This window comes from Homo sapiens, chromosome 20 (assembly GCF_000001405.40).
Source record: "Homo sapiens chromosome 20, GRCh38.p14 Primary Assembly".
NCBI classification, from domain to species: domain Eukaryota; kingdom Metazoa; phylum Chordata; class Mammalia; order Primates; family Hominidae; genus Homo; species Homo sapiens.
The window spans coordinates 38859378-38872724 of NC_000020.11; the positions used below are offsets into that span (position 1 = coordinate 38859378).

At 49.2% G+C, this 13347-nt stretch overlaps 1 protein-coding gene across 2 annotated transcripts in view, besides 9 other annotated features; it reads left to right on the forward strand.

Annotated features, from left to right (window-relative positions):
• Positions 1-13347, forward strand: part of PPP1R16B (protein phosphatase 1 regulatory subunit 16B) — a 117328-nt gene that overhangs the window by 53681 nt on the left and 50300 nt on the right. The gene's annotated exons all lie outside the window — the stretch shown is intronic.
• Positions 72-211: an enhancer, noted in NCBI's record as "active region_17866". NCBI's record gives its function as "activates an Ori minimal core promoter by ATAC-STARR-seq in GM12878 lymphoblastoid cells {active_cell/tissue: GM12878}" and the evidence as "EXISTENCE:reporter gene assay evidence [ECO:0000049][PMID:35858748]".
• Positions 1088-1337: an enhancer, noted in NCBI's record as "active region_17867". NCBI's record gives its function as "activates an Ori minimal core promoter by ATAC-STARR-seq in GM12878 lymphoblastoid cells {active_cell/tissue: GM12878}" and the evidence as "EXISTENCE:reporter gene assay evidence [ECO:0000049][PMID:35858748]".
• Positions 1918-2007: an enhancer, noted in NCBI's record as "active region_17868". NCBI's record gives its function as "activates an Ori minimal core promoter by ATAC-STARR-seq in GM12878 lymphoblastoid cells {active_cell/tissue: GM12878}" and the evidence as "EXISTENCE:reporter gene assay evidence [ECO:0000049][PMID:35858748]".
• Positions 3937-4076: an enhancer, noted in NCBI's record as "active region_17869". NCBI's record gives its function as "activates an Ori minimal core promoter by ATAC-STARR-seq in GM12878 lymphoblastoid cells {active_cell/tissue: GM12878}" and the evidence as "EXISTENCE:reporter gene assay evidence [ECO:0000049][PMID:35858748]".
• Positions 7194-7293: an enhancer, noted in NCBI's record as "active region_17870". NCBI's record gives its function as "activates an Ori minimal core promoter by ATAC-STARR-seq in GM12878 lymphoblastoid cells {active_cell/tissue: GM12878}" and the evidence as "EXISTENCE:reporter gene assay evidence [ECO:0000049][PMID:35858748]".
• Positions 7314-7383: an enhancer, noted in NCBI's record as "active region_17871". NCBI's record gives its function as "activates an Ori minimal core promoter by ATAC-STARR-seq in GM12878 lymphoblastoid cells {active_cell/tissue: GM12878}" and the evidence as "EXISTENCE:reporter gene assay evidence [ECO:0000049][PMID:35858748]".
• Positions 11094-11664: an enhancer, noted in NCBI's record as "H3K4me1 hESC enhancer chr20:37499114-37499684 (GRCh37/hg19 assembly coordinates)". NCBI's record gives its function as "activates a minimal SCP1, AML or CMV promoter by ChIP-STARR-seq in primed H9 embryonic stem cells {active_cell/tissue: H9 hESC(primed)}" and the evidence as "EXISTENCE:reporter gene assay evidence [ECO:0000049][PMID:30033119]".
• Positions 11793-11852: an enhancer, noted in NCBI's record as "active region_17872". NCBI's record gives its function as "activates an Ori minimal core promoter by ATAC-STARR-seq in GM12878 lymphoblastoid cells {active_cell/tissue: GM12878}" and the evidence as "EXISTENCE:reporter gene assay evidence [ECO:0000049][PMID:35858748]".
• Positions 11873-11962: an enhancer, noted in NCBI's record as "active region_17873". NCBI's record gives its function as "activates an Ori minimal core promoter by ATAC-STARR-seq in GM12878 lymphoblastoid cells {active_cell/tissue: GM12878}" and the evidence as "EXISTENCE:reporter gene assay evidence [ECO:0000049][PMID:35858748]".

Below are 13347 nucleotides of genomic sequence, written 5' to 3' on the forward strand. Positions count from 1 at the left end.
AAGAGGGCAGCTCTCTTCAACACAATGACCCCATGCCTAGGCTTCTTCCATCCTATGGCTCTGCCCGCTAGATCAGAGCTGTCCAATAGAAAAAGAATTCAAGCCACATATGTAACTGTATTTATTTATTTAGAGCCAGGTTCTTGCTCTGTTGCCCAGACTGGGGTGCAGTGGCAAAATCATGGCTCATTGCAGCCTCAGACTCCTGGCCTCAAGCTGTCTTCCCACCTCAACCTCCCAAGTAGCTAGGACTACAGGCACATGCCACCACACCTGGCTGATTTTTAAATTTTTTGTAGAGACAGGGTCTTGATATGTTGCCCAGGCTGGTTTGAACTCCTGGCCTCAAGCAGTCCTACCACCTCAGCCTCCCAAGGTGTTGGGGTTATAGGCATGAGCCACTGTGCCTGGCTAGTAATTCTTAAATGCACTAGTAGCTACATTTTTAAAAGGTAAAAAAATAAACAGTTGAAATTAATTTTAATAATATATTTTATTTAATCCAATATATCCAAAATGTCATTTCAGCATGCAATCAATATAAAACTTATTAATGAGAGATTTTACATTCTGTTTTTTTCATATCTTTTACATTTATTTATTTATTTATTTGGAGATGGAGTTTCACCCTTGTCACCCAGGCTGGAGTGCAATGATGCAATCTAGGCTCACTGCAACCTCCACCTTCCGAGTTCAAGTGACTCTCCTGCCTCAGTCTCCCAAGTAGCTGTGATTACAGTGCCACCATGCCCAGCTAATTTTGTATTTTTAGTAGACATGGGGTTTCACCGTGTTGGTCAGGCTGGTCTCAAACTTCTGACCTCAGGTGATCCTCCCGCCTTGGCCTCCCATAGTGCTGGGATTAAAGGCATGCGCCACCATGCCCGGCTAATTTTGTATTTTTAGTAGAGACAGGGTTTCACCATGTTGGTCAGGCTGGTCTCAAACTTCTGACCTCAGGTGATCCTCCCGCCTCAGCCTCCCAAAGTGCTGGGATTACAGGTGTGAGCCACTGTGCCTGGCCTTTTTGTATGTTTTTGAAATCTGAAATTGATGCACCATATGTTGATTCAGATTAGCCATATTTCAAGTGTCATGGCCACACATGGCTCGTAGTCACCACATGGGGCGGTATAGCCCTGGATCCTCAGAGTTCCCTCATTCAGGTTGGAGGTGGAGATTGCAGGGGAGGGATCTGCAGGCCAGATCTGGAAGTGGCAAGTTCAGCCCGCATTCCACTGACCAGAACCCAGACTGTGGTCGCACCTTTGCAAGGGAGACTGGAACAGCATCTAGCTTTGTGCCCAGGAGGATAAGGAAGCAAGGTCTAGCGAACACTCAGCAGAGTCTCTCCCAGCAGCCAGCAATTTTCTGTGCATCTACTATGAGCTAGTCAGCCTGGTTGGCAGGCTGTATCTAGGTTTTGAGTAAGGTGGAAGAAATTTTGCTTTATATACTGGTTTCCCTTAGCTCATAGTTCATACTCCTTAAAGTGGCTTCCAGGGTCTTCCATGCTAACTTGCTTCCCAGTGCTCCCAGGGGCCCCCTGCAGGTCCCAATTTGCACACTGTTACTCATGCTCTTCCTCCCACTGGGAGTATCCGTGTTCTCCTCCAGTAGTGCCCATCTTCCCTGATTCTCCCCATTCCCTGGGTCCTCTTCAGTCTCTTATGCTCCCCTTTTATGCCCTTCACCATATACAGACATACAGGCAGCATGAGTGGAGAAACATGCAGTTCAGAAGCAGCTGGGCCTGGATTCCAGCCCCAGTTCTATGACACACCTGCTGTGTGACCCTGAGGAAAGTCACTCAACCTCTCTGAGTCTCATCTGTCCCCTCTGTAAAACGGAAATAACCAGAGCTACCTGGTGGGATGTTGGCCCCCACCTGTCCCAGTGCTGCACAGCTGCAGGCCAAAGCCCAACTTGGTATTTGAGCTGGTTCTGACCTGGGCAGGCCCTAGAAGAGGATGAGACCCCTTCCCACTGAGGGAGGTAGATTTGATCTTGTGATGAGATGTCCTTGTCTATGAGTTGCCTGGGAGAGCCAAGACTCCTGTGTCCCTCCAAAGTGATGGCTCCACCTGGGGGGCTAGGCTCTGCCTCAGGGTCACCATCCAACTTTTAAAACCTTTGTCTAGAAGAATCTCAGCATGGTTACCATAGGACCCTGACCTGTCCGTTTTCACCCTGGGATGGGACATCTTCTTCCCCCCCACCCTTCAGCCAGCCTGCATCAATCTGCTGTTGCCACTTGAGGATCTGGATGGTGGGCCCTGGCCTGCTGCAGTTCTTCTTTTTTTTTTTTTTTTTTTTTGAGACGAAGTCTTGCTCTGTCGCCCAGACTAGAGTGCAGTGGTGCAATCTTGGCTCACTGCAACCTCTGCCTCCCGGGTTCAAGCGATTCTCTTGCCTCGGCCTCCCGAGTAGCTGGGATTACAGGAGCCTGCCACCGTGCCCGGCTAATTTTTGTATTTTTAGTAGAGACAGGGTTTCACCATCTCGGCCAGGCTCGTCTCGAACTCCTCAGCTTATGATCCACCCACCTCGGCCTCCCAAAGTGCTGGGATTACAGGCGTGAGCCACCGTGCCTGGCCTACAGTTCTTCTTTTGCTTCTGGTCTCTTACTGGACTCTTGTGAGGCTGACACCAGCCCTGACCAAGCCCAGTCTCCTTGGAGGAGAGGCCCAAGTCCAGCCCACAACTGTGTAGGGCCCCCCAGCCTTGTTGCCTCCCATGCCTGGCTTCTTGCCCTCTCTCTAGGGGCAGGGCATGCTGGGCTGTCTTCCTGAAGCACCCAGAAAAGTTATGAGGAGGGGACAGTTAATGCCAGGTGACCAGTGACCCTGAGCCAGTCCTCATTGCTATGTTCAGAAGAGACAAAGGCAATGTTAGCATAGTGAATGTTGAACTGGGCTGGGTGCCGTGAAAATGATATAAGGCAGAAACTATAAGGCGGAGGATACTATTATACACCCATTTTATGGAAGAGGAAGCTGAGGTGCAGAGAGGTTCAGAGACTTGCTCAGGTCTCACAGCTCCGAGTGCTCAAGTTGAATTTTGACTCAATATCACATGAATGCCCCCGACACAACCCTACCACCTAAAAACTAAAAGGAAGATATGAAAGCAAATGTAGAGAGAATATAGCTAGTAGCCAGAGGTAAAGTGAAGAGTCCCAAAGACTCAGAAATAAAATCACTGTCTGACCCTTTGTCCAGAAAATTCCTGACGTAATGGATGGGCCTCATCATCCCGAGAAACCCAGAGTCAGAGTCAGGAATAAGCAGGTCCTTGAGGAAATGAGGAATGGGATGAAGAAGAATGTTCAGGAGGGAGAGCATGGCCACAAGGTTGACTGTGGCCTGCCCTAGGGTGGGGAGTGCAAAAGCAAGATCTTGGAGCTCTTGGGTTCCTTCCCTGCTCTCCTGCCCACTCCAGATTCCATCAGTTATGGCCTTTGGAGGCTGTCTGATCTCTGCCCTGCTTCCTGGCTCACCCAGCCACTGCTTGTCACCAATTCAGCTTCCTGGGTGTTCTGATGTTCGAAAGAGGGTGTGTGAATGGTGGACGAGAACATCCTGGTCTATATGAAGGAGTGGGCTTCAGGGTCAGTAGATACAATGGTCCCCCTACTTAGTTCCCTGGTGCTTGGAGACCATCGTGGTGCTGGGTCATGAAGCAGAGAGAACATTTGTGGGCTCTCCCAGCCCAGAACTGAAGCTTCTGAACCATGGTGACTCTAGGAAGCCCACCACCCAGGAGTCAGCCTGCCTCCCTGGATGCAAGTTGCCTCTGGTGCTTACAAACCACAGCACAAAACACAAAAAATGTGGAAATGGGGACGTTCCCAGAAGGCAACTTCCTGGGGCTCAGATAACCCTGGTCTGACCGCAGAGACCTGATGCACCTCGTACTTCCCCTCCTGTCTGTGAAGCATGAACTTGGCTGGTGTCATGCCTCTGTGACTCAAAGATCCCTGCTGACAGGTTTAACTCCCTGCATGGCTGAGCCCCTGCAGAGCCCAGGACCACTCCACTAGGCCAAAGTGAGGGGTAATGGAAATGAAAACTTTCCACGTTTCCGTGTCTGTCTCCCCGTAGCCTGAGCCCACACCATCTGCCTCCTTTTACTCTGGCATGGATGATGGGAAGGACCAGGCCCTTTCCAGGTTCCTGTTCTGGCTCCTCTGTACAGCAGCTGTGTGATCCTGGGCCAGTCGCTTTGCCTATCTGCACCCCAGGTTTTTCATCTGAACAGTGACGGTCACAGTAACACCCACCTCAAGGGAATTGCGAGAATTAAATGAACCTGTGGATGTCATCCTAGAACAGTGACTGGTATATAGTAGGTGCTCAATAGAGGTTAATTCCCATCTTTTCTGCTGGGGGGCCCAGATGAGATGAAGGTTTTCTGTTTAATGAAAACGTGCACAAAAGCCCAGCAGCGCTATTCCTAGATATATTCCCCCAAGAGAAATGACATAAGTCTACATAAACACTTGTCTACAAATGTTCATAGCCACATTTCTCACAATCACCCCAAAGTGGAAACAACCCAAATGTCCATCAACTGATGAGGGGATACATGGAATGCAGTCTAGCCATACAATGGAATATCATTCTGCCATAAAAAGAAATGAAGGACTGACACGTGCTATACCATGGATGAACTTTGAAAACACTATGTTAAGTGAAAGAAGCCAGACACAAAAGGCCACGTGTTCTAGAACTCCACTGGTATGAAATGTCCAGAATAGACAAATCTATAGAGACAGAAAGTAGATTAGGAGTTACCTATGGCTCGGGGTGTGGTGGGGAATGAGGAGTGACTGCTAATGGGTATGGGGTTTCTTTTTGGGGTGTTCAGATGTTCTAAAACTGATTGTGGTGATGATTGTACAACTTTGAATACAATTTTAAAAAACTGAAATGTACATTTTTAATAGGAGAATTGTATGGCATGTGAATTATGTCTCAATAAAGCCGTTTAAAAATGAAAAGTCAGGGAGAGGAAGAGAAACTTACTAGCACTTGCTAGTGCCACTGGCTTAAATTGCTTCCTAAATATTCACCCATTTCATTCTCACAACAACCTTTTGGGAGGTCCTTTTATCACCCCATTTTTGCAGTTGTGGAAACAGAAGCACAGAAAAGGTGAAGTAACATGGCCAGTCACACAGCTAGTTAGCAGACCTGGAATTTGAACTCAAGCAGTGGTGGTTTAGAACTGAACCGCCACCGTAAGCTGCCCCCCACTGCAACCAGAGGTCGGACTTCATGTATAACAGAGGGAGTCACAGGACCTCATTCACCCAGAAAGACCACCGGAGTCCCCCACCTCTCACAGAGGGATCTGCCAGGACTTGGGTGCACAGGGTGTAGGGCCTAGGTACCAGCAGAGAGCCAGGCTCTGAGAGGCAGACAAGAAGTGGGTGTTTCTGGGTGACACTGTGGGACTAACATGTCTCTGACCCAGTTTGAGAGTGCCTGGCCCCTCCTGGAGCTGGAGCTGCAGAAATCGATTTGCAGACTGCCGGTTTCCACTTAATTAGCATGGCCTCCTTCTGGCTGGGAAAACACCATTAAATGGGCTGGGTTGGCCTGGAATCATGCCGGTGGCCTCGGCCCTGGTTCTCTGGGGCTATCTGTCTCTTGGGCTCTGTCCCCTTAGCCAGGCTGGAATTCAGAATGGCCCGAGTTTCTGGTTTGGAGTATGAGGCAAATTCTACCCACGTCCAGGCCCAAGTGTTAGATGATCCTGGGGCCCCGGTTGAGGGAACTGGAAGGAGAAATAGAGGCTTCACTCTTCATACTCTGCCTCCTTGGGCCCATTGGTCAGTGTCCTGGCACACAGACCTCTGACTTGCACAGGGCACCTACCCTGTGCCATGTACACTGCTGCATTCTTTTTTTTTCTTTTTTTTTTTTGAGACGGAGTCTCACTCTGTCGCCCAGGCTGGAGTGCAGTGGCGCGATCTCGGCTCACTGCGAGCTCCGCCTCCCAGGTTCACGCCATTCTCCTGCCTCAGCCTTCCGAGTAGCTGGGACTACAGGTGCCCGCCACCACGGCCGGCTAATTTTTTTGTATTTTTAGTAGAAATGGGGTTTCACCGTGTTAGCCAGGATGGTCTCGATCTCCTGACCTTTGTGATCCGCCTGCCTCGGCCTCCTAAAGCACTGGGATTACAGGCGTGAGCCGCCGCGCCCGGCCTGCTGCATTCTTTAGATGCGTCACCTGGTACACCTTCCACTCACGTCCTGCACAGGTGGGCTCCACTTCACAGATGAGGAGACAGAGGTGCCGAGGGGTTGTCACTTACTGAATGTTCCCATGGCAGTAGGTGGCAGGGCCGGATTCCTATCTCCGGGTCTCCTGCTTCTGGTGTAATCCCAGCGGCCCCTGCAGAGCCTGCCTCTGTTTTGAGGGCACCACTCATCACCTTGGCTTTAAAAAGTTGAAAAGTGGCCAGGGGCGATGCCTCACACCTGTAATTCCAGCACTTTGAGAGGCCGAGTTGGGCGGATCATGAGGTCAGGAGTTCGAGACCAGCCTGGCCAACATGGTGAAACCCTGTCTCTACTAAAAATACAAAAATTAGCCAGACATGGTGGCGTGTGCCAGTAATCCCAGCTACTCAGGAGGCTGGGGCAGGAGAATTGCTTGAACCCTGGAAGGAGAGGTTGCAGTAAGGTGAGATCATGCCCCTGCACTCCAGCCTGGGCGACAGAGTGAGACTCTTGTCTCGGAGAAAAAAAAAATTAAAAATAAATAAATAAATAATAAAAATTCGAGAGGTTTGATTTCTGCTTCTGGTTTCAGAGGAAGGAAAATCACTTAGGCAATGGGCCCCTGGGGAACAGAATAGCTCCTAAATCCCGGGTGTGCTGTCCTCTGTGGGCTGAGTGTCTGTGCAGCGGGAAGAAGGGGCACCTCTGGGTTCTACCCCAGACTTGCTGCATGACCTTCAGCAACTGACTTGATTTCTCTGAGTCTCTTTCCCTCATCTGTAGAATGGGGCACAGTAACAGCCTCCTTTGCAATGTGGATGACACAGAATGCCCCGGAAGGTGCGTTGACACATGGTCAGCGTCCCGTAGCAGCTGCCTGTTATCTCGCCAGCACTCTTGTGGCTAGCCCTTCAGAAACGAACCCAAAGAAGGCCTGCTTGCTTTTTCTCACACCATGGATGTCTGGGGTGTGAGGCAAGGCACATCTTTTTCCCATGGAGGGGATACAGCCCGCCATGCAGGAGATGGCCTGGGATGGAGGGTGGGTCTCCTGGGCCTGGAGCTCAGCCTCTGTCTGGTGATGTCAGGAATCTGCACTGTGGAGCAGAGGCACCCTGCAGTGTGCAAAGTACTGGTGTTTTCTTTTAAATTGAGGTAAAACTCACAAAACACAAAATTAACCATTTAAAAGTGTACAATTTAGTGGCATTTAAGTACCTTCACAAAGCTGTACAGTCATCACCTCTGCTTAGTTCCAGAACATTTTCATTGTCCCAAAAGGAAACCCTGGACTCATTAGCAGTCACTCCCCAGTTTCCTCTTCCCCCTAGCCCCTGGCAGCCGCTAATCTACTTTCTGTCTCTATGGATTTATCTGTTCTGGATATTTCATATAATATGTGACTTTTCGTGTCTGGCTTCTTTCACTTGGCGTAATGTTTTTCGGGTTCATCCACGCTGTAGCATGTGTCAGTACATTATTCCTTTTACATCTGGATCATGTTACATTGTGTGGATAGACCCCCTGTCCCCCGCCAACCACACACACCCAGGCTGGAGTCACCCTAAGGTCCACCTCTGCAGTGATGGTTAAAGCGATGTCCCCAAAGGGCACTGTGGTCTTGGCTCCTTGATCTCACCAGCCATTCATGTCCAAACATCAGCCTGGTGCTGATGGGGACGAGGTGGGGAGTGATTCTGGGGGATGGGGATAGTTAAAGATCCACCAGGGACAGATGAGCTTCCTGTGTGGTCCAACTCAGGAGTCACCAGGGTCCATGGTTCAGATGCTGGGATCTGGAGCGAGACCATCTGGGCTCAAATCCTAGCTCTGTTGCCTATTGGGTGAACTTGGGCAAACCATTCAATCTCTCTGTGCCTCAGTTTTTCTTTTGGTTAAATAGAATAATAATACACTACCTACTTAAAAGGGTTGTACCAGAGCTAAATGAAGCCTTGCTTTAGCACAGTGCCTGGCACAGAGGAATATTTCCAAAATATGTTAGTTGTCCAAAATGTGTTAGCATTTCCAAAATGTGTTAGCTGTCAGCTCTTGTGATTCTTTGATTCTTTTTTTTCCCCCCGAGATGGAGTCTTGCTCTGTTGCCCAGGCTGGAGTGCCATGGTGTGAACTTGGCTCACTGCAACCTCCGCCTCCTGGGTTCAAGCAATTCTCCTACCTCAGCCTCCCGAGTAGCTGGGATTACAGGCGCCCGCCACCACGCCCAGCTAATTTTTGTATTTTTAGTAGAGACGGGGTTTCATCATGTTGGCCAGGCTGGCCTCAAACTCCCGACCTCAGGTGATCCGCCCATCTTGGCCTCCCTAAGTGCCAGGATTACAGGTGTGAGCCACCACACCTGGCCGTGATTCTTTGATTCTATCAGTTGGTGTTTCCCCCTAAAATTGCAGTCCTGTGAGTGTGCTGAGGCCGTGCCTGGGCACTATGCACCCTCATAGCATGGGTTGCCTTTTCTTACTGCTCCTCCCCTGGGCTGTTTTCCATCTATTTCAGGGCTTTCTTGTTACTGTGCATCACTGTGAGCTCCACAGAGCAAAGGCTCACTCTGGTTTGCTCAGCACAGTGTACACGCCGGGCACAGTCCCTCTGAACAACTGCATGCCCACACCACTCCTGCGTTTCACCTCAGGACCCCATGGCCCACCCCTGTGAGCTAAGCTCATGCCTTTTTACTTTGAGATAATTATAGATTTACATGCAGTTAAAAAAAATACAGAGAGATCCCTTCTGTTCTACACCCAGTTTACCCAAATGGTAAGTTTTTTTTTTTTTTGGAGACAGGGTCTCACTCTGTCACCCAGGCTGGAGTGCAGTGGCGTGATCTCAGCTCACTGCAATCTCTGTCTCCTGGGTTCAAGTGATTCTTCTGCCTCAGCCTCCTGAGTAGCTGGGATTACAGGCACATGCCACCTCGCCTGGCTAGTTTTTGTTTTTAGTACAGACGGGGTTTCACTATGTTGGTCAGGCTGGTCTTGAACTCCTGGCCTCAAGTGATCCTCCCGCCTCAGCCTCCCAAATGGTAACATTTTGCAAAACTAATATATGTTATCACAACCAGTAAATTGACATTGATACGGTTCACCAATTGGATCCAGATTTTGCCAGTTTTATATGCATTCATTTGTGTATGGATGTGTGTGTTTGGCTCTGTGAAATCTTTGATGGCAGGAGCAGATTTGTGTGACCAGCACTGCAGTCAAGAGGCAGAATTATGAAATACTGGTTACATGATAAAATTATAATATTTTGGACATATGGATTAGGTAAAATATATCATTAAAATATCACCTGTTTTTATTTTTTAAATGTTGTTAACAAAACATTTCAAATCACATATGTGGCCTATGTTATATTTCTCTAGGACACTGCCATCAGTCCAAAAAGTTCCCCTGTGTCCCTTCCCAGTCAATCCCCTACGCTCTTCCAGGCAGCTATTGTTCTGATGGTTTTTTTCCCCACTAAAGGCTATTTTTTTCCTTTTTGTCTTTTTTTTGAGGTGATATGCACATAAAAAATTAGCCATTTTATTTTTTTTTATTTATTTATTTTTGAGACAGTCTTGACGTGTCACCCAGGCTGAATGCGGGTGGCACGATCTTGGCTCACTGCAACCTCCACCTCCTGGGTTCAAGTGATTCTCGTGCCTCAGCCTCCCGAGTAGCTGGAATTACAGGCGTGCACCACCATGCCCAGCTAATTTTTGTATTTTTAGTAGAGATGGAATCTCACCATGTTGGTCAAACTGGTCTCGAACTCCTGACCTCAGGTGATCCACCCACCTCAGCCTCCCAAAGTGTTGGGATTACAGGCGTGAGCCACCGCGCCTGGCCTATTTTTAACTTTTTGGAGAACTGCCAAACTGTTTTCCACAGTAGCTACGCACCATTTTATATCCTCACCAGCAGTGTACAAGGGTTCCAGTTTCTCCACATGCTTATCAACACTTGTTATTGTCTGTTTTTAAAGAAATTATAGTCATTTTAGTGGGTGTGAAGTATATTGTTAGTTTGCTTTTTCTGGAAAGTCATGCAAGTGGAATCACATAGTATGGACCCTGTGTGAGCCTTCATTTGCTCAACTTATATGCGAAGATTTTTTAGATGTGTGGTTTGAGGGCCTGGAAAGTCATGTCCTGGCCTATGGAATATATTAAAGGGGAAGATAGGATTCCTTAAGGCAAAAGTGGCAGTTCATTAACCCCCTCCCCTGCAAATCCCTGCCCCACCCCCATCCCGCTGCCACATAAAGATGGACCTGTCTGCCTGCCTTCACTGCAGAGCAAAAATTTTATTTATTTATTTTTTTTTTTTTTTAAGACACGGTCTCTCTCTGTCGCCCAGGCTGGAACACAGTGACGCGATCCCAGCTCACTGCAACCTCCACCTCCTGGGTTCAAGCAATTCTCCTTCCTCAGCCTCCTGAGTAGCTGGGATTACAGGTGCCCACCAACATGCCTGACTAATTTTTGTATTTTTAGTAGAGATGGGGTCTCACCATGTTGGCCAGGCTGGTCTTGAATTCCTGACCTCAAGTGATTCACCTCAAGTGATCCACCCGCCTTGGCCTCCCAAAGTGCTGGGATTACAGGTGTGAGCAACCACGCCCGGCCTGCAGAGCAAAAATTTATTGAGCACCTGTGGTGTGCCAGGACTCATTTATAAGTAAATAGAAAAGGTCCCTGTCCTTGTAGGGTTTATAAACTATAGGGGGAAACTACAAGTCCACATACACATAACCTACCATTTAAAAGTCTGACTAAATGCTGTGAAGGAGTAAGCAAGGTGCTTTGATAGGGAACAGAGGGACAGTGTGTGTATAGGAAGGCCAGTCAGGTGGGTCCCTCTGAGGAGGTGACACTTAAGAGACCTGAAGGATGAGAACTGAGCCAGCCATGCAGAAGGATGGGGAGGCTGGGCTAGAGGAGAGTGTTCTAGGCAGAACAAAATAGCACAAGCAGGGGCCCTGGGGCAGTGAAAGCCTCTGGTGGTTCAGTGCAAAGTTAGGAAGGTGTGAAACAGTGGGAAGGGAAGGGACAGGGATGCTCCTGCTGGCTGATGGCCCATACTGTAGGGGCCACAACTTTGTCTTAGCTGCAAGCAGGACCGGAGACATGAAGGGCCAGACTCTGGGCCAATTTCCTTGCTGCGTTCTCAGCTCCAAGAGGCAGCTCGGCTGGGATATTGTGGCTCATTCTAGTGTCTTGCAGCCTCTCAAACTGGAGGGCTGGAGGGTTGGGGCGTGGTTAGTGGCAGCTGTGACGGAGACTTATCAGGAAGCAGGCATGTAATTCCTGCAGTGATTCACACCCAGTCCCCAGTTTACTGCAGTCCTGCAGTGATTCACACCTGGGCCCCAGTTTACCGCAGCTGCACCTTTAAACAGGGCTCGGATGCCTGCATCTCCCTGACCCGTGTGTACCCTCATCATCCCAGGACCTCGGAGGTGTGGGTGAGGCAGCACATAGCTCAGCCTGGTGCCCTCCTCTCACTAGAGAGCTTGACCCTAAAGCCGCAAGCTCAAGCCCACGCCCTGGCCAACCTCCTGGAGCTTTGAGAACAAGGTGTCCTGTACACAGAGTCCTGGCCCCAGTACCTGAGCGCACATGAACCCCGTATGCAAGAAGAAAACTGACCCCAGCCCCATGTTACATAAGAACATCTTTGGAATTTGGCTCCTTTTGAAATGAAATGGGAAACCTGCACTCAAACAAGCAGGTATGGGGAATTCAATAGGAGGCAAATGCCCTCAGGGTCACCTCTGGGCCAGTATGCATTCTGAGGATTGGTTTATTCATTCAGCAAACATTGTGGACACCTGCTTTGTGCCAAGCTTCATGGAGGGATACAAGAACAGATGTTCAATCAATGTCTGTGGGAAGAAGGAGAGAGAAGGGGGATGAAAGGGAAGGATTGAGAAGGAGGAGTGTAGGGAGGTAGAGAGTAAGGAAGAGAGGAACGAAGGGAGGGAGGGAGGGAGGGAAGGAAGGAGGGAGGGAAGGAAGGAAGGAGGGAGGCAAAGAAAGGGGAAGGGAGGGAGGGAGGGAAGGAAGGAGGGAGGGAGGGAAAGAAAGGGGAAGGAACAGAGGGAGGGACGGAGGGAAGATAAATGGGCAGAGATACCCTCACAGAGCTCATCGTCATGTGACTGTGGGTGCAGGTGTGCCCATGGTAATGTAACTAAGTATTTACAATCTAGCTCAGCTCTGATCAATGGAAAAATAATGTAAGCCACATATGTAATTTTAAATGTTCTAATAGTTCCAGTAAAGCAGGCAAGGAACAGGTGAAATTAATTTGAATAATTATTTAACTCAACATTATTTCAATATGTATTTAGTATAAAAATATTAATGGGTATGTTACATATCTTTTTCACACTAAATCTTCAAGGTCACCCCTAGCACGTCTCAATCTGGATTATGCACATTTCAAGTGCTCCCCAGCCCTGGACACCGTGGAGGGTGGCAGGCACTCTGACTGAGGTGCACAGAGCCTGCTGAGGGCACTTAAGTCAGAGTCAAGGAAGACTTCACCGGGTGGTGCCTTCAGTCATTTAATCATTTGCTCACTTACTGTTCACCTAATGTTTATTGAATGCCTCCTGCACTGGGTGTGACGGCTGGGCAGAGACTCTGCTTGGAGGAAGGAGGGAAGGGCATTCCAGACTAGGGAAGCAGATTGCAAGCTCTGAGAGGGCAGACTGGCGTCTGTCTGGTTCACTGCTGTAGCCCTGCACCTGGTGCAGAGTTGGTGCCTGGCGAACATTTGCGGAGCGGGAAAGGAGGGAGAGAGGAGTTGGGCATTTCTAGAGCGCAGGAGGCAGAGAAGACTGGTTAGAGAGGAAGCTGGAGACACCATTCTCAAACTTGACAGTGCACTGGAATCACTGGCAGGGTTTGTTAAAGCGTAGATTGTTAGACACCCCCCTCCTGCAGGGTTCCTGATCCAGCAGGGCTGGGGTAGGGCCACCGGATTTGCATTGCCAGCAAATTCCCAGGTGCTGCTGCTGCTGCTGGTCCAGGGATCACTGAGAACCACTGGGCTAGACCACGAACCCTGTGAAGGCAGAGAGGAGCCAGGAGAGGTTTCTGAGAAGG